Source organism: Homo sapiens, chromosome 8 (genome assembly GCF_000001405.40).
Source record: "Homo sapiens chromosome 8, GRCh38.p14 Primary Assembly".
NCBI classification, from domain to species: Eukaryota; Metazoa; Chordata; class Mammalia; order Primates; family Hominidae; genus Homo; species Homo sapiens.
This window is the reverse complement of record NC_000008.11, coordinates 111,370,994-111,390,834: the sequence shown is the minus strand read 5'-3', so window position 1 is coordinate 111,390,834 and position 19,841 is coordinate 111,370,994. Positions and strand designations below refer to the sequence as shown.

At 34.6% G+C, this 19,841-nt stretch overlaps 1 long non-coding RNA gene and 1 pseudogene across 1 annotated transcript in view; both read right to left on the bottom strand.

Annotated features, from left to right (window-relative positions):
- The window catches only part of LINC02237 (long intergenic non-protein coding RNA 2237), a 93,979-nt gene extending 79,783 nt beyond the window's left edge, over positions 1-14,196 (bottom strand). Inside the window, exons 1-2 of the long non-coding RNA NR_146282.1 lie at positions 14,145-14,196; positions 3,093-3,157 (exon numbers count right to left, since the gene is read on the bottom strand). This is a non-coding gene — a long non-coding RNA (long intergenic non-protein coding RNA 2237). The remainder of the gene's footprint in view (positions 1-3,092; positions 3,158-14,144) is intronic.
- Positions 10,040-10,232, bottom strand: SERPINA15P (serpin family A member 15, pseudogene; annotated as a pseudogene).
- Positions 14,197-19,841: the final 5,645 nt, after the last annotated feature.

Below are 19,841 nucleotides of genomic sequence, written 5' to 3'. Positions count from 1 at the left end.
ACCATGCCTGGCCGAGGCTCTGTTTTATAGTGAACATGGATTAAGATAGCAATGGATCCTAAAATGGCATTTAATAAAGTAAACTTTCATTTATGATTTCTTGTACACTAACACTATATACGAAATAAGGTGCAATATAAAATAGATTTTGAAGCAAAAGCAAATATTTTAATTATTTACATCAGAGTTATTATGAATGAATTCAAATCTAAGAAAATATATTGGGTGACTATATTATTCACAGCATATTTGATTGTCTATAAAATGTGTTTCGAGAGAATTTGGTTTAAATTTTTACTCTTTGGTCACCCAAGAAGACATTTTAGATATATTTATACTTATATTCTTAATTATATGTAGACCATTGGTTAATTCCTTCACGAATAATAAAAATTTCATGAAATATTTTGAAATTTTATATTTACAACTATCTATACAAATATTAATTTATCTGTTTTGTAATAAAAGATAATTTAGCTTTTTAAAAATATGAAATATAGCTGTAAAGAAGAGGTTTGCCATTTGTTTAATTTTAACAATATTTAGCATTACTTTGGAGAAGTTATTTTAGAAATGAAGCCTATACTAATATTTAATATTTGTATAGTACTTTTGATGCTTAATTGTGACCCAAGTACTTTGTATGAATTATGTCATTCATTTTAACAATCATCCTGCATGACCAGTACTATTATTATATCTCTCAAGGCTTAGATTGGTTTAGCCTGTTGCCCAACTAACTCATTTAGTACAGGATGGATATTAAACCCAAGTGGTAGGCACAACCAGCAGAACATGCCCCCATAACTTCTAAATTAATTGTGAATATTGTGTAGGTGCTTATTATTTAAGATTAGTTGTTATTCTCATATGAAGAGGTTATTGGGTCTCCAGTGTTATTTAATCTCAGGTCTGTGTTCAGAGTCAAACATCTAAATCTGTAATTTGAATTCAATGATGTGACTACAAATTTTAATCTTGGTGACCAGCCAGGAAATACCGTATTTCCTTTTTAATGAATAATTGTTTATTTAATATAATATGTTAACTTAAATATTATTAATTTAATATGACAGAAAAATATTCCTTATTTAGATTACTAAAATTTTTACAAAAAGCACATTCAATTGTTGGTAATATAAATGATATTCATATTTTGGAGGAGCGATTTTTCTGTATAAACATTTAACTTAACCAACAAAAGCACATATTAGTTGTTTTATTTCTTGAGGTTGGATAATTTGTTTCTGTTTGAATGCCTACGTTTTGTATAAAAGTGATAAATGTATTTATAATAAATTATAATGTAGATAGACTTACATTTAGAGAAAAAAGTCCTTATCTCTTGAAAAATGATGCTAGTTAACTGGAACCTTTTTCCTCCCAACAATTGCTCTGCTACTACATTAAAAATACAAATAAATAAAGCCTCATTTGAATAATTTTTAAATATTTGTTAATAGAATAAAATAATTTTTATAAAATCCTGTTACATGTGGGTCAATGAATGCAATTTAGATTTGTCAACATATAATGTGTTCTGAAAAAGGCATACATCTATACAACCATCACAATAAGACATAAAAAATTATAATTACCCTCAAACTGCCTTTATGCCATATACCAATAGATCCTCTACTTCCTTGTCCCCAGGCAACCACTAATATTCATTCTCTCAGTAATAGATTTGTCTTTCCAGATTTTCACATAAAAGGGATCCAAGTGGAATGCATTTTCATATCTGATTTCTTTACTCAATAGTGTTTAAAGAATCCTCTATATTATTTTGTTTCAGAACTTTTTTTACTGTTGTGTAGTATTTCAGTGTATGAATACACCATCATTTGGTTATCCATTCATATGCTGATAAACAGTCTTTTTTCAGTTTCTGCTTTATGAATATAAATACTACATATCTGTGTGCAAGACATTGTGTGGACATTGGCTTTTATTTCTTACTTGTAAATGCCTAGATGTGGAATTGTTGAATTGTATGAAAAGTCTATGTTAATATTATAAAATAATAGTTTCTCAAATAGTTATTTTTTTTCTACCAACTATGAGAATTCTAGTTGTTCCTCATCTTTGCTAACACTTGGAATTATCACATATTGAAAATTTTTCTTATCTGAAAGTTGTGTACTGATATCTCATTGTAGTTTATATTTGCATTGCCTGATGATCAATTATTTTGAGAATTTGTCATTTGGTTTATTGGACTTTTCTATAATTTCTCTTGTGAAGTGTCTGTTTAAATCTTTTACACAACACTTATGATGTTTTTGCCTTATAAAATTGAGATAATATTATGTATAATCTGCATACATTTGCATACATTTATTATATAAATGTATAGAGGCATTTTCAATAACTTATAGTAAGTTAAAATAGTTATATGAACTTCTAACTTAGTGTTTTAGAAACAACTGCTAGAAGAACATAAAAAAGGATTAATGAAATAAATTTCCCTGTAAAGTTAAAAGATTTAGGAAAAGTATATTTAGTGCCACAAGACTTTGATTTTTTAAATTTTAAATGCATATTTCATTTTGTTATGAAACATATAATCTATACAATGGTTTGAACAATTTTTATAATGCTGGAATACAAAAATTGCTGAAATTCAGAACGAGACATATCATTTCTGTCCCCAGGACATTGACAACATGCATATTATAATATGGAGGTGTCACATGTGACTTAAGGCAACTTAAAGACTTAGCTTTCTCCATTAGGAAGGGAAAAAACAACATATTTGGTCAATCTGAAACATCCTAAAACTTTCTGATAAAAATACAAGCATTTGTCATTTTGAAAATCTGAAAATTATTGTATTAATGGTTATAGATATTAAAAAGTAGATGATGATAGATTAAAACCATTTAAAAAGTGAAAGCAATTAGGAATGGTTAAATAAAGTATTTTGTTTTATTTATTGTTGGTAAAGATGTAATATAACTAATTAAACATTCCCAAGAAATTCCATTTCTACTTACTCTTTCTCTTTCTGAAATTTGACCTCATAACTTAATAACTTAAAATGTAGCAATCATATATTTTAATTCCACTACCATGATACTTACTATGCTTACCTTTTGAGAGTTAGAATTGTGTTTGTCCTGATAATGTGGAGGAGCTTGTAGTTAGTTTAGAGGATCTTTGAGGAATATAAATGTTTGAGATAAACATATAAAATGTGAAATCAAGAAAAAGAACTTTTTCAGAAGATGAAACTGTTGCTCAGGTTACTTGACTGGGAGTTCCCAGAGCTCCAGTTTCAATCCTCCCTTCAGCCTTCAATCCCTAAGAGACATCCAGCCCCAGCAATTGGATTGGGCAGCCTGTCTTGACGCACCACTGTGCTGAATGCTTGAGGACATGTTTCAAGAGATGGCTGGGGTTAGTGTGTGTCATCAGATTTGAGGAGAAATCAAGAGACAAAATGCTGCCCTGCTGGAGCTGTGTGGTCTTCTCCAAGTGAGAGCTGCTGGCCATAGAACTACTTTGCTTTCAGGGAAAGAGGAGGAATTCATTTTCAGTAGTCACAAGAAAAGCAGTTTCTTTTCAGAAGCAACATAGTAACTTAACAGAAAAACTGAAAGAAACCACAGATCTTTTGAAAGAAGCAGCAGGCTGCAGCCTAAATTGTGAACCAGACTAAAAACTCCCTACAGGAGACAGTGAACCTGCTCACACATCCAGCACAGCATCACCACAACCACCATCTGAGAAAGCCATTGCACAAAGATTCTCTATAACCAAGGGACTCATACCAAGTCTGCACCACTGAAAGCACATGGAGCTGCAGCTAGGTGACAATAAACTATAAACATTAAAGTCACATCCTTAAGGGAAAAAAAATTAAAAAGACAAACTAGTTCAATCAAAAATGAATTCAAAAGTCATTAGAAGAATAGTCTGTCCAAGTGAGAAGGAGCCAGAAAAATAATTCTGACAATATGAAAAACAGGGTCTAAAACATCCCTAAAATATCAAACTATCTATTAGTGTATCCAAACGAAACTGTAGAAACATCAGATAAATAATTCAAAGGGTTGATAATTAAGTTACTCAAATAGAAACAAGATAAAGATGAAAGCCACCATAAACAAATTTAAAAAAAATAAGGATATGAGTAAAAACATTTCTAAACAGACAGGTATTTTAAAGAAAAACCCACCAGAATTTCTGAAAATGAAAGACACATTTAGGGAAATATAAAATGCAGTGGAAAGTTCAAACAATGGACTAGACCAAGTAGAAGAAAGACTTTCCTTGTTGTCTCTTTTGAATTAAGCCAATCAGACAAAATAAACAAAAATGGATTTAAATAAATGAACCGTCTCCAAGAAACATGGGGTTAAATAAAATAGCCAAACCTATGAAATATAGGTGTTCCTGAGAAGAAGAAAAAGTAAGAAGTTGGAAAATCTATTTGAGAGACTAATTAAGGAAAACGTACCTTGCCTTGCTACAGATTTAGATATCCAAATACAGGAAGCTCAAAGAACTCCCGGGGGACTCATTGCAAAAGGAATATCACCAAGGCTTATAGTCATAAGGCTATCTAAAGTCAATGGTAAGAAAAGAATTCTAGAAACAGTGAGAAAAAAAAAATCAGATAACCTATAAAGGAAAAACTATCAGACTAACAGGAGACCTCTCAGTAGAAACTTTACAATCCAGAAGGGCTTGAGGCCTTATCTTTTGTCTCCTTAAATGGAGTAACTATCCTCCAAGAAGTCTGTATCCAGCAAAACTAAGTTTCATAAATGAAGGAGAAATAAAGTGTCAGACAAGCAAATGTGGAGTAAAATTGTTAATACTAGAGCAATCCTACAAGAAATAATAAAAGGTGTTCTAAATCTTGAAACATAAGGTTAATACACACCAGAATAGAAACTCCTGAAAGCATAAAATCACAACACTTATAAAACAACAACACAATGAAGAAAACAAAGTCACTAGGTCACAATAGACATGATGACTGGAACAGTATCTCACATCTCAATATTAACATTGAATGTAAATGGTCTAAATTATCCACCTTAAATATACAGATTGGCAGAATGAATTTAAAAATTCTCAAAATAAATAGCTGCTGTCTTCATAAGACAAACCTAATATGTAAGGATTCCTATAGACTCAAGGTAAAGGGGTGAAAAAAGATATTTCACACAAATGGAAACTGAAAGTGAGCAGGAGTAGCTGGTCTTATATTGGATAAAACAGACTTTAAAAAAAAAAAAGAAAAGACAAAGAAGGCCATTACATAATGATAAAAGGATCAATTCAACAAAAGGATGTAATAATTATAAATATATATGCACTTAACTCTGAAGTTCCAGATTCATAAAGTAATTACTACTATGCCTAGGAAAAGAGATAGCAACACAGTTAAGAGTGGGGGATTTCAGCACTCCACTGACAGCACTAGAATGATTATAGAGGCAGAAAGTCAATGAAGAAATACTGCCGGGCATGGTGGCTCATGCCTGTAATCGAAACACTTTGGGAGGCTGAGGCGGGCGGGTCACCCGAGGTCAGAAGTTCAAGACAAGCCTGACCAACATGGAGAAACCCTGTCTGTACTAAAAATACAAAATTAGCCAGGCATGGTGGCACACTCCTCACACGTCTGAAATCCCAGCTACTTAGGAGGCTGAGGCAGGAGAACTGCTTGAACCCGCGAGGCAGAGGTTGTGGTGAGCCGAGATTGCACTATTGCGCTCCAGCCTGGGCAACAAGAGCGAAACTCTGTCTCCAAAAAAAAAAAGAAAGAAAGAAAGAAAGAAAGAAAGAAAGAAAGAAAGAAAGAAAGAAAGAAAGAAAGAAAGAAAGAAAGAAATACTGAATTTAACCTGTACTCTAGAACAAATGGACCGAACAGATATTTGCAGAGCACTGTACCCAAAAACTGCATTAGCACATGGAACATTCTCTAAGATACACCATATGAGAAGCCACAAAATAAAGTATCAACAAATTTAAGAAAATAGAATCATATTAAATATCTTCTCAGGCCACAGCAAAACAAAACTAGAAATAAATAAAAATTACTCTCAAAACTATTCAAATACATGGAAATTGAACAATCTGCTAATCTGCTCCTGAATGATTTCAGGATTAACAATGAAATCAAGATGAAAATTGAAAATTTTGAAATGAATGACAACAGTGATGCAATTTATCAAAATCTGTGGAATACAGCACAATGCTAAGAGGAAAGTTTATAGTGCTAAATGTCTACATCAGAAAAATCTGAATGATCAGAAATTCACATCCTAACATTATATCACACCACAAGGAACTAGAGAAACAAGGACAAACCAAACCGCCAACTATCAGAAGAGAAGAAATACAAAAATCATTGCAAAACTAAATGAAATTGAAACAAAAAAGTAAAAAAGATCAATGAATATACCACTGATTATTTGAAAAGATAAACAATATTGATAGACCACTAGCTAGATTTAAAAAAAAAAGAGAGAAAATTAAAATAAGCTCAGTTAGAAAGGAAGATTACAGATGACATCACAGAAATAAAAAATATCATTCCAGATTGCTATGAACACCTCTATGCACACAAACTACAAAGACTGGAAGAAATTCATAAATTTCTGAAAACATACATTTCCCCCAACCATCCGCTTAAATCAGAAAGAAATAGAAATTCCAAACAGACCAATAACAAGCAGTGAGATTGAGTCAGTAATAATAAAGAAATCCAACAACACCAAAAATCCCAGGAACAGATAAATTCAGTTGATTTCTTCCAGACATTCAAAGAAGAATTGGTATAAATTCCACTAAAACTATTCCAAAAGATTGAGAAGATTTCAAAAATCCTTCTTAACTCATTCTATGATGCCAGTATCACCCTGATACCAAAGCCAACAAAGGACATAACAACAAAAAACTACAGACCAATATATCTGATGAATATAAATGCAAAAATTCTCAACAAAGTAATAGCAAACTGAATTCAACAGTACATCAATATGGAATTGTTTTCATTCCAGTGATATAGGAATGGTTCAACATATGCATATACAAGTCAATAATGTTATTCATCACAAAAACAGAATTAAAAGCAAAAACCGTATTGTCATCTCAGTAGATCCAGAAAAAGCATGGGATAAAAATCCAGCATACTTTAAGATATAAAATCTCAACAAACTGGCCATAGAAGGAACATATATGAAAGTAATAAAAGCCATATATGACAGATCTACAGCCAACATCATCCTGGATGGGGAAAAGTTGAAACATTTTTTCTAAGAATTAGGGATGCCCATTTTAACCATTTCTATTCAAAGTAGTACTGGAAGTCCTGGCTAGAACAATCAGGCAAGAGAAAGAAATAAAGTGCATCCCAATTGGAAAAGAGGAAATCAAACTATCTCTGTTTGCCAATGATATGATCTTATACCTAGAAAACTCTAAAGATTCATCCAAAGCACTCTTGTATCTGATAAATGAATTAAGTAAAGCTAAAAAATCAATGTACAAAAATCAGTAGCACTGCTATACAGCAGCATTGACCAAACTGAGAATCAAATCCAGAACTCAGTCCCTTTAAAATCGCTACAAAAACAATTGAAATATACTTAACCAAAGAGGTGAAAGATCTCTACAAGGAGAACTACAGAGCACTACTGAAAGAAATAATAGATGACATAAACAAATAGAAATATATTTCATGCTCAAAGATTGGAAGAATCAGTATTGTAAAAATGCCTATACTGCCCAAAGCAATCTATAGATTCAATGCAATTCCTATCAAAATACCAACATCATTTTTCACAGAATTAGAAAAAACAATCCTAAAATTAATATGGAACCAAAGAAGAGCCCAAATACTCAAAATGATCCTAAGAACAAAGAACAAATCTGGAGACATCACATTACCTGACTTCAAATTATACTACAAGCCTATAGTAACCAAAACAGCATGATACTGGTATCAAAGTAAATACATAGACCAATGGAACAGAATGGAGAACCCAGAAATAAAACCAAATATTTACAACCAACTGATCTTTGACAAAGCATCCAAAAACAAATTGGGGAAAAGACATCATATTTAATAAATAATGTTGGGAAAATTGGATAGCCACATATAGAAGAATGGAACTGGATCCCTCTCTTCCACCTTATGCAAAAATGAACTCAAGATAAATCAAGGACTTAAATCTAAGGCCTGAAGCCATAAAAATTCTAGAAGATAACCTGGGAAAATCTCTTCTGGATAATGGCTTGGGCAAATAATTTATGTTTAAGACCCCAACAGCAAGTGCAATAAAAACAATAGTAATTAAATCGGAATTAATTAAACTAAAAAGCTTCTGCACAGCCAAAGGAATAATCGTCAGAATAAACAGAAAACCCTCAGAATAGGAATATTCACAAGCTACGCATCTGACAAAGAACTAATATTCAGAATCTACAAGGAATTCAAATAAATCATCAGGAAAAAAAATAATCCCATCGAAGAGTGGGCAAAGTACATGAATAGATATTTCTCAAAATAATATGTATGAATGTCCAACAAATATGTGAAAAAATGTCCAACATCACTAATCATCATAGAAATGCAAACTAAAGCTACAATGAAATACCACCTTACCCTACCCAGAATGGCTATTCTTAAAAATTTAGAAAACAGTAGATATTGGTGTGTATGTGATAAAACAGGAATGCCTGTACACTGCAGGTAGGGATGTAAATTAGTAAAACCTCTATTGAAAACAGTATGTAGATTTCTCAAAGAACTGAAATTAGATCTACCATTCAATTCAGTAATACCACTACTGAGTATCTACCCAAAGGAAAAGTCACTATATCAAAAATGCATCTGTACACATGTTTATCACAGCACAATTCAAAATTGGAAAGATATGGAATTAATCTAAGTGTCCATCATCCAATAAGTGTATAAAGAAAATTTTTTACATATAAAAACACATTATATATATTTATTTATAATATAAATCTATAAATATATAAAATATATATTTACATATATATTTTTGTATATGTCCATGTCCCCCAGAACTCCCCTAAGGTTGTAGGCTCTTGAGATAATAATCCTTAGGAGATATATATATATATATATATATATATATATATATATATATATGTATATATGCCTTGAAATACTACTCAGCCATAAAAAGAACAAAATAATGTCTTTTGCAGCAGCTTAGATGGAACTAGAGGCCATTATTGTAAGAGAAGCAACTCAGCAATTGAAAACCAAATACTCTATTTTCTTATTTACAAGTAGGAGCTAAGCTACAGGTACATAAAGGAATACAGAGTGGTATAACAGAGTTTGGAGACTCAGAAGGGGGCAGGGTAGGAGGGGGATGAGGGACAAATAACTGCCTATTGGATGCAATGTGTACTACTCAGGTGACAGGCGCACTAAAATCCTAGACCTCACCAGTGTACAATTCATCCATGTAACCAAAAACCCCATTGGTACTCCAAAGCTATTTAAAAAATAAATAAAAAGAAACTCTCTCTCCCTCTCTCTCTCACACACACACGCACACACACACACACACACACACACACAGGAAGATGAGACTATTTTTTAATGTAAAAAGGATGTTATCAGATCCATAGAGAAGGAATAAAATCTAAGCCAAATAGATTTTGCAGACTTGAACATAAAATGTGTTCCCATTTCTAGTTAGAATGTAGAGGAAGGAGGAAGTCCTTCATGTCTTCCACAATAACAAGATAAAGAATAAAAACTTCACCTTGTATTATTTTCCCCCCACTAATAGCATTTATTTATTACAAGATGCTTAAAGCTAGAGACACTTCTCATTGGATTTCAGGAAAAACTGTAAAACATTGGAGAAATCTCCCATTCCCCAAGACATTTTTGTGTTGTTTCTGATGCCCAAAGTCACATGGTGCCTTGGCTCCTGGGTGGGCATACCCTTAGGTTAGATTAATGACCTTGCCCAGGAAAAGGCTGCTGTATCTGAAATGGTCAAAGGTCATCACAATGAAGGGCCAGCTGAAAATGATAATAAGAGGCTTGAACATCAACTTTAGGACATCCCCAGTGGTGGCAGCTGCCTCACACTCTTCTCATCAAGTTGCAGCATGGACTTATGAACCACCTGTTACATCTTCAGCTGGACCTCTTGGGTGATGCCTGAAAAGTTTTCCTGGTTGGTGAAAAAGTCTGCAATGTCCATGTCCCTCAGAACTCCCCTTCTTTCATGCAACAAGGTTGTTGAATACAACTGTCTCAGGGCCCTTAGGTGCTAAAGCTCAAGGCTTCTGCAAGAACTCGATGATTCAGCTGACTGCCTCTAGTAGACAAAGCAGGTATAATTTCTAGAAAGGTAATTGGAATTATGCTTGAAGGTAGAGAAGAAATACAGGACGAGGGTAAGCATCTATACTTTTTAGGATATTAAGGCTTTTATTTTATTTTATTTGTACCGTAAAGGGAGAGAAGATGTCTGAAACTCTGAAATTGAAGAGGAGCTGTGAAAGGAAACAGACTGTTCAGCAGGTAGAAAGGAATGCATGAGACCCTCTCTTCACTGAGCCAAAGCAGCCCTGTGGGAAGCCTGGAGATGAGCAGCCAGCCAGTATGAATTTTAAGCCTTACTGTTCAAAAGGAATTGAAGAAGAATTAAAAAATGAGCCAGATGAAAAAAGAAGAAAGAATAAACAGCAAAGCAGTTAATTCAATCCATCCATATAGTTACATTAAATAAGATGGAAGTAAAGTTTTCAATTAAAAAGCCTTAAGACTATGATTTATAAATATTTAATTAATACTTTGTAAGAATAAAAATAAATATAAGCATTTTTATGAAAAATCAGAGACTTTCAGATAAAAGCAACACCCAACTATACATGTATTTTTTTTTTTATTAAGTACACTTGGAAAGTAAAAACAGAAAAAAATGCAAACACTATGAAAATTGGTGTGGCTATGCCAAAGTCAGAAAAATAGACTACAAAACTATGAGTATTACCACAGATTAAGAGGACATGTGTAACAAAATAATTGATTAATCAAGGAGATACAATAATCTTAAATAAGAGTGTACTTAAAAAGAGAATTTCAAAATACACAAAACAAAATTTAATGCACCTAGAGTACAAAGTTAAAAGTCCACAGAATTTTTCACCCCAACTCAGTAATTTATAAAATAAATAGAGAGGAAAAATAATATAAAGAAGATATGAACAGTGCTGTCAACTATGGACCAAAGAAAAAAATCACAGAGGAAATTAGGAAATAGTCTAACAGTGTAAATGAAAACAAAACTCAAACTTTTATGCTGTGAAATTAACCAGCCATTAGAAGAATAGGTATAGCTTTAAATCTTTCTGGTGGAAAAGAAGAAACATATAAACATCAATGAAATAGGCATACATCTTAGAAAGCCTGAAAAAAAAAAAAGCCAAAATAAATCCAAAGTGGATAAAGGAAAAACAAAAATATATTGAAAAAAAAGAGTGGAAATAAATTAATGGGAAAAATGAATAATAGAGAAAACCTATAAAATGAAAAGCTAGTTCTTTGGAAAGACTAACAAAATTGATAAAATTCTAATTTCACTTATTAAGGAAAAAAAAGAGAGAGGCAAAAATTACCAGCATAAAAAATAAACATCAGACAGCACTAGAGATACTATAGAATTTAAACTGATAATGGGTGATTACATAAACTAATGGGTGCCATATGATTTTTTAATTTATCTAAGCAAGTTTCTTGACCTGACTTTCAACTTTATAAATTCCAAGCCCATAAATATACAGATAAAATATAATAATGTATAAAATCTCTTTAGGGTTAGAAAATTTTTAAAAATGTACTGTCCAATGTCTTTTCAAAATGAAATTTCCATCAATAAATTAATTGAAATTAATCATATACAATATATTTTGTATTAAAGAGTAATTTATACCATCTATTTAGTGTAAAATTTAATATGCATAGAATAAATTTTAGAATATGCCATAATTAATTGTGGAATTATTGATTAAATTTGTTTCCTTCTTTCTTGCACAGTAACAGAGAATAACCTAGACCTATGGCTATCTAGATGTAAAATATATTTTTCATCTCTTTAAACAAATTGTTACTTTTGATCATACGTCTAAGTTCATACAACTGAAAACTAAATAGAAGTATTGTGTGCCATTTCACCTGACTCAATTTAAAGAAAATTTCTCCCCTAGATTTTCAGCTCCTCTTTTCCTGAGAGCCAGATCCTGAACACACCAGAAAACACTTCTGCCTTTGTAAAACCTTCTGACAAATTGACCTTGGGGAAATACTTACACATTCTTTTTCTCAGTTACCTGAACTACAAAAGTAGCAGAGTAACTGAAACTAGAGTTACTATATGCATTAAAAAATTAGAAAACCAAACAGTTATTACACAGCAAGCAGACATGACTGTGATCCCTGAAAGTGAAAAAAGCCCCCCAAAACAGGAGGTGCATATTAACATTGCCCTGGTTTTTTGCCTGGGGATATTTTTCAATCCACGCATCAGAAAGGAGAAGCCTAAGTAGACAATGGCCATCTCAGAGCTTTGGAGATAGAGACTGGAGTTTGAAATGTAAAATAGTCCCTGGAAATTGTAGGCATAATATCTGACATGAGGGAGACATATAGAGTAAGAGCTAAACCACAATAAATCTTCTAGATTCTTTGATGTAAAATATTCTGATCATGCATAAATGCCACCATTCCCCCCAAACAAGCAAACAAACAGCTGCCAATAATGACTGATTCCCAGAGTTCACATAGAGTGTAAGAAGATTAAGTTCATATAGCCAGAATCAAGAGAGCTTGTTGAGCAGTTGCAGCAATCAGTAGAGAACTAGGAATAAACATGCTTTAGCAGTAAGGGTAAATTAAGCCAAGTAAAGGCCACTGCAGACTTCCCTAACAAAATTTATAAACAAGCTCCTTAACTGTCGATCTGATTTGCTAGTAACTTGATAGTTACATTAAAGGAAGAAAAACAAACCTAAACTGCAACAATCTAACAAGAACGCCTGGCATCTAATCATATATTATTATAAATTAAAGAAACAGAAAAAAATTTACTCATAATCAGGAGAAAAATATGAATTAATGAAAACAACTGACAGAAGGACTTAACAAATAACAGAAGATGGGACTGACAAGCAATGACTTTAAGGAGCTATAGCTAATATAAATGTGCCCGATACTTTTAACAATGCATGAATATAACAAGAATAGAATAAGAAACAGATGGAAAAGGTAGAAATGAAAAATGAAATGTCTTAAGTGAAATTTTTCTTAATTAGATTAGATCACATGAGAGGTGGCAGAAGGCAAAAATCGCTAAGCTATGTGACAACAATAGCACCTACCTAAACTGAATCACAAAGAGAGACAGGAAAAAATATGTATATATAAACAGATTGTCACTAATCTGTGGTACCTTATCAAGCCACCTAATATAAATGTTACCACAGTTCCCTAAGGGAGGGGCACATAAGAATATAGATGAATAAATAATACCCTAAAAGTTTCTTGGTTTGAAGGAAAATGTACCGAAGCAAGGAGCTCAACAAACACTAAGTAAAATAAATCCAAAGAATGTAACACAAAATCACATCATAATCAAATTCATAAAAGAAAGATATACAGAAAAAAATGTTAGAACATTGATATGAAAATACAAGGCATACGAAGGAACAATCTTAAAGTCTGACCTGAGACTTCTCATCAGAAAATAAGCAATTCAAGTAACAGTAAAGAAACATCTTTAATGCGCCAAAAGAAAAGAAAGAACTGTCAACCAACTCTTTAAATATATAGTTAATGTATGCTTTAAAAGGAAATGTGAAATAAAGACATTAACAGATGGACAAAAGCAGAGAGATTATGATGCCTGGACAACTGCACTGCAGGAAATGCTGAAGGCAAACACTTCCATCTCCTGCATAGCATGTAGAAAACCAGAAAGTACATCATTCCCACCCTGACAACTAGACACAGCTGGGTAATCTATAAAATAATAACTTTTTCTAAACCTAGCAGAGACCTGAGTTCATATGACAATCAACCAGCCTGAAAGCTAAAGAAGTCAGCACCTTAAATAAGCACTGCAAACCTTTGGCAGCAGGAGGAAGTCAGTCTTCAGCAGGCAGGAAAGAAGAAATTGCTAAAATGTTTACTGAATTGCCAAAGGCCAAATGTGATCTAGTATGTGAGTATAGAAGCCCAGAGGAATTTGTACAAAGTTGAAGGCTATTCTCCAAAGATCTCACTGAGTTCTCATGAGAAAGGTCAAGGGCTGGGAGAGTCCAGAAAAAGCTTCTCTTGCTGGTGCAGGAGTGGGAAGGAGAGTGATATTGCTGTAGGAAAGGCACAGTATCTTGCCTGGTTCTTTCTACTCTGAATAACAAAAAAAAAAGTTAAGCTTCTTCAGGAAGGGCAACAAATTCTGCTACCCTCGGTGCACACGTGAAGACTCACAACAGCTGGGAGAAGGAAAGACAAAATCTCCTACCTCTCAAGGTTGGGCAAGAAACCATCCTGTGTTCAGGCTGTTAGAGAGCCTGCATCCCTCATTTTACTGGTTCAGCCTCAGTTTTTTTCAGGCCTCATGTCACTAAATGTTCAGTCTGGCTTTTTCAGTGACCCAGGAGAATTTGCCCAAAGGGCTCAGTGTCTGATTTTGTTGCTGGCAATTTTGGCATTCATCAGGGATAATAGCCAGATTGGCACTGGTGAGAGAAAGTCCATAGTTCTTGGACTCGTACACAGCCTCCGTCCCTGTCAAAATAGATATTCCCTTCCTGGGCCTATTTTACTGATATGGGAATGAACAAGGAAAAAGGCAAACTGGTGCACAGAGGCCAAATTGACCCTATTTGGTTTTTGAGTGTCATCTCTGTGATGAATGGTTTCTTAGTGGGTATTAATGTAATTCACCTAAACTGTATATATTGTGCTTACTCTAATCCATTCATCTACATTCTTCTTTTTCATATCTCTTTGTCTCAGTATTACAATATTAATTTCCCCCAGGATCTTGATCAAACAGACAAGACATTTTCCATTGCCCTATCTGTCACAGGTGTCAGTGTGTAACTACTCGCTTAGATCACTTTTTCTTTCATTTAAAATGAACAACATTGTGTCTCTTCCCTGTCACCAGAGTTATCTTCTGCCACCTTTTTGTCACATTTTACTGCTATAGCCATTCTCACTAAAGAAAAAATGTGTAAGAGAAGAGTTAAACCAGCAAGAAAGACTTTATGACTTAACAGCAGGGGAGAGAAATTCAACTCAACTTTACTGGAACAAAAGATAGTAGTGTTTTCAAATGCTGGAGTGAGCTAATGAAAAGAAGTACTAGAAGGTGTTAGGGGATGTTGATCAATGTGATTAGGCCGTATATATTTGCTTTTTGATACTTATTGAAATGAGGCTCTTAACCTTCCTGTAGAAAATAGGTACTGCCTTTTAAGATGACTATGTTTCATAGGGATGACTTCTAGGGCCTTGACAAAGACATTCCTGAATTGTAACTCTGGCAAGAGACTGGGAAAGGATGTACATTGTAAATAAAGTGATAAATCATTTGCAATTACAAGGTTTTTGTTGTCGTTGATGTTAAAGTAAATGCTCTAAGAAAAAGGATGCTAAGGGACTAGAGTCCAGATGAAGCCTATCTAAAACTGCCTCAAACTGAGGGTAATTTTAAGAAGGTTTTGGTCAATATACAATTAGCATAAACAGATTATGTTGAACTATGTAATAACAGTACTTGAAGCTTTCAACAATTCATTAGGGAGAACATTTCAGAAAGAAAAAATAAAAGTGAGCTGAGGAGAGGCATCAATGCAACCGATTCATTTGTGTCTTCTGAATTTGCTTGGAACTGGTCCTAGATGAATCAAATCTATCATTCAATGGTAAGCTGCATGGTTATCAAATCAATAATTCAGTAAATAGGTGAAATACCCATCTTTTATTGGACAGCCTTTATCACATAGTAACCTAAATTTTCTTGCTAAACAAGTCTGTTCTCACACTGCTAATAAAGGCATACCCGAGGCTGGGTAATTTATAAAGAAAAGAGGTTTAATTGACTCACAGGTCCACATGGCTGGGGAGGCCTCACAGTCATGGCAGAAGGTGAATGAGGAGCAAAGTCACATCTTACATGGCAGCAGGAAAGACAGCTTGTTCAGGGGAACTCCCATTTATAAAACCATCAGATCTCATGAGACTTACTTACTATCACGAGAACAGTATGGGGGAAGCTGCCACCATTATTTAATTATTTCCACCTGGCCTGTGTGGAGACATGTGGAGATGATTACAATTTAAGGTGAAAATTGGGTGGGGACACAGAGGCAAACCATACCATTCTGTCCCTGACCCCTCCCAAATTTCATGTCCTCACGTTTCAGGACACAATCATGCCCTCCAACAGTCCCCCAAAGTCTTAACATAATCCAGCATTAATCCACAAGTCCAAGTCCAAAGTCTCATCTGAGACAAGGCAAATCCCTTCCACTTATGAGCCTGTAAAACCGAAAGCAAGTTAGTTACTTCCCAGATACAATGAGAGTACGGGCATTGGGTAAATACACCCATTCCAAATGAGAGAAATTGGCCAAAACAAAGGGACTACAGGCCTTATGCAAGTCTGAAGCCCAATAGGGGAGTCAAATCTTAAAGCTCCAAAATGATCTCCTTTGACTCCATGTCTCACATCCAGGTCATGCTGATGCAAGAGGTGGGCTCTCACGGCCTCGTGCAGCTCTGTCTCTGTGGCTTTGCAGCATACAGCCACCCTCACAGCTGCTTTCACAGGATGGAGTTGAGTGTCTGCGGCTTTTCCAGGCACACAGTACAAGTTGTCAGTGAATCTACCATTCTGGGGTCTGGAGGACAGTGGCTCTCTTCTCATGGCTCCAGTAGTAAGTGACCCAGTGGGGACTCTGTGTGGGGGCTTTGACCCCAGAGTTCCCTTCCACACTGCCCTAGCAGAGGTTCTCCATGAGGGCTCGGCCCCTGCAGCAGACTTCTGCCTGTAAATCCAGGCATTTCCATATAACCTCTGAAATCTAGGCAGAGGTTCCCAAACCTCAATTCTTGACTTGTGTGCACCATCAGGATCAGCAAATGTAAGCCACCAAGGCTTGGAGCTTGCACCCTCTGAAGTATCAACCTGAGCTGCACATTGGCCCCTTTTAGACACTCTGGGACTCACGGCACCAAGTCTGGAGACGCACAAAGCAGCAAGGCCCTGGGAAACCACTCCAGTTTTCCCTCCTAGACGCCCCACCCCTGTGATGGGAGGGGCTTCTGTGAAGACCTCTGACGTGCCCTGGAGACATTTTCACTATTGTCCTGGCAATTGACATTTGGCTTCGTGCTACTTATGCAAATTTATGCAGCCAGCTTGAATTTCTCCCTAGAAAATGGGTATTTCTTTGCTACTGAATCATCAGGCTGTAAGTTTTCCAAACTTTTATGCTCTGTCACCTCTTGAATGCTTTGCCACTTAGAAATTTCTTCCACCAGATACCCCAAATCATCTCTCTCAAGTTCAAAGTTCCACAGATCTCTAGAGTAGGGGCAAAATGCTGCCAATCTCTTTGCTAAAATATAGCAAGAGTCACCTTTATTCTAGTTCCCAATAAGTTTCTCATCTCCATCTGAGACCACCTCAGCTTGGATTTCATTGTCCATATCACTATCAGCATTTTGTTCAAAGCCATTCAACAAGTCTCTAGGAAGTTCCAGACTTTCCCACATTTTCCTGTCTTCTTCTGAGCCCTCCAAACTGTTCCAACCTCTGCCTGTTACCCAGTTCCAAAGTCGCTTCCACATTTTCAGGTGTCTTTACAATGGCACCTCACTCCACCTGTAACAATTTACTGTATTACTCTGTTCTCACACTGCTAATACACGCATACCTAAGACTGGGTAATTTATAAAGGAAAGAGGTTGAGTTGACTTACAGTTCCACATGGCTGGGGAGGCCCCACAATCATGGTGGAAGGCAAATGAGGAGAAAGTCACATCTTACGTGGCAGCAGGCAAAAGAACTTGTTCAGAGTAACTCCCATTTATAAAACCATCAGATCTCATGAGACTTATTCCCAATCACTAGAGCAGCATGGGAAATACCCACCTCCATGACACAGTTACCTCCACCAGGTCCCTCTCAAGACAAGTGGGGATTATTACAATTCTAGTTGAGATTTGGGTGGGGACACAATTCTAAGCCATATTAATGCCCTAAATGGCAAGTCTTTTAAACAATGGCCTGAACTGCAGAGTAAATTTTACTCCTACTTGCAATCAAATTTTATCAGTATCCTGAATAACCAATAAATGGGTAGAAGTAGTATATATATGTAAGTGTGTTAAAAATTCACTGAATTCACAGAATTTCCCCAAAATTAAGTACTCTTGTTTTTTATTAGTGGCAGAAAATTCAAAGTGCAACAACTTATCTCTTCACTTACCTTATCTCAGAATGCCTCAAATGACAAAATTCCATCAGACCTCCTCTGCACAGTTGGTCTCAGAATCTTTGTGGTGTTTATCTAGTATCATCTGACATGTATGTATTTTACTAAAGCATTTAGAAATCTTGCCATCTCTTTCTCACTAAATCTAATTAGCATGATGTCACAAATATAGTGGATCAGCATTAAGTTTTGTGTGACATCCAGACAACTAAAGCTCTCCCCGGTGACTACTTAAGACTGACAGCAGGAGAGTTAACATCACCAAATGGCTGGTCTAAAATTGCAAAGCAATGGTTGCCATAGCTTTGGCTGGATTAAGTAGTGATTCTGAAAGGATTTTAAGTGGTACTTGAGTGGTTGTCTGATAAATAGGACTTCCATATCTCTTGCTCTCCAAACAGAATAAATATAAAAGAATTACTGAATGTTTCTATTTTGGAAATATTTTGTAAGATAACTTGAAGATGATCAAAGATATCTAATACATAATCTCTCCTCTGAAAGGTATTAAATCTATTTTAGTGTAAAATATTTTATATAAGTAACATTTTTTTAATAACCAGCAAAGAAAGTTTACATATTAAATACATCAACTAAGTATTATAACTTATAAATTCTATGAGGGCTAAGAGGGGATATATATTCCTATAAAATGGCTTGAGAAATTATTTGTTACTAAAGTTGTTTGTCCTAAATTTAAAAAGTAGATTGGAATTATATGGAGTTGTTTTATCCCAAGTACGGTAGCACAGCATTGGGTCACAGAAAACTTTAAGAGGATATGTATTCATGGAGGCATAACTTAAAAATTAAGCGAATGGCAGTGTTGCCTTATGTGATAGTAAATTAGAGTAATAGTGACAGCCTTGCTAATACACAGTGAGTATAAGCTAACTTAAGTCATGCTTATGTCCCTAAGGAGGTTGCCTGTTGTTTTTTTTTTTGTCATTGTCTAGGAACGTATTACATCTTTTTACATATTACGTCTTTCTTAGAGAGATGATGTCTATTCCCTAGTCAAATTAAGAGTCCTGTCAGATATAAGAATCTCTTGAGTTCCAGGATGAAAATTGCAATGCTTTGTGTCCTGCTTTACATGTCAATGCTCTGTCTTGACCTAGTGTCCAAAACCCCACTTTATACATTAAGAATATTGCTGTGACTGCTGAGTGTGACCATGGCCACAGAACAGAGTTTGTTTTCCAAACCGTATTCTTGGATGTCTTGAGCAGAAACACTTAAGTTGACTTTTAAATAGGTAGAATATCAAAGCCTTCTACATGGAAAATGGCTGACAAAGTCACTTGAGA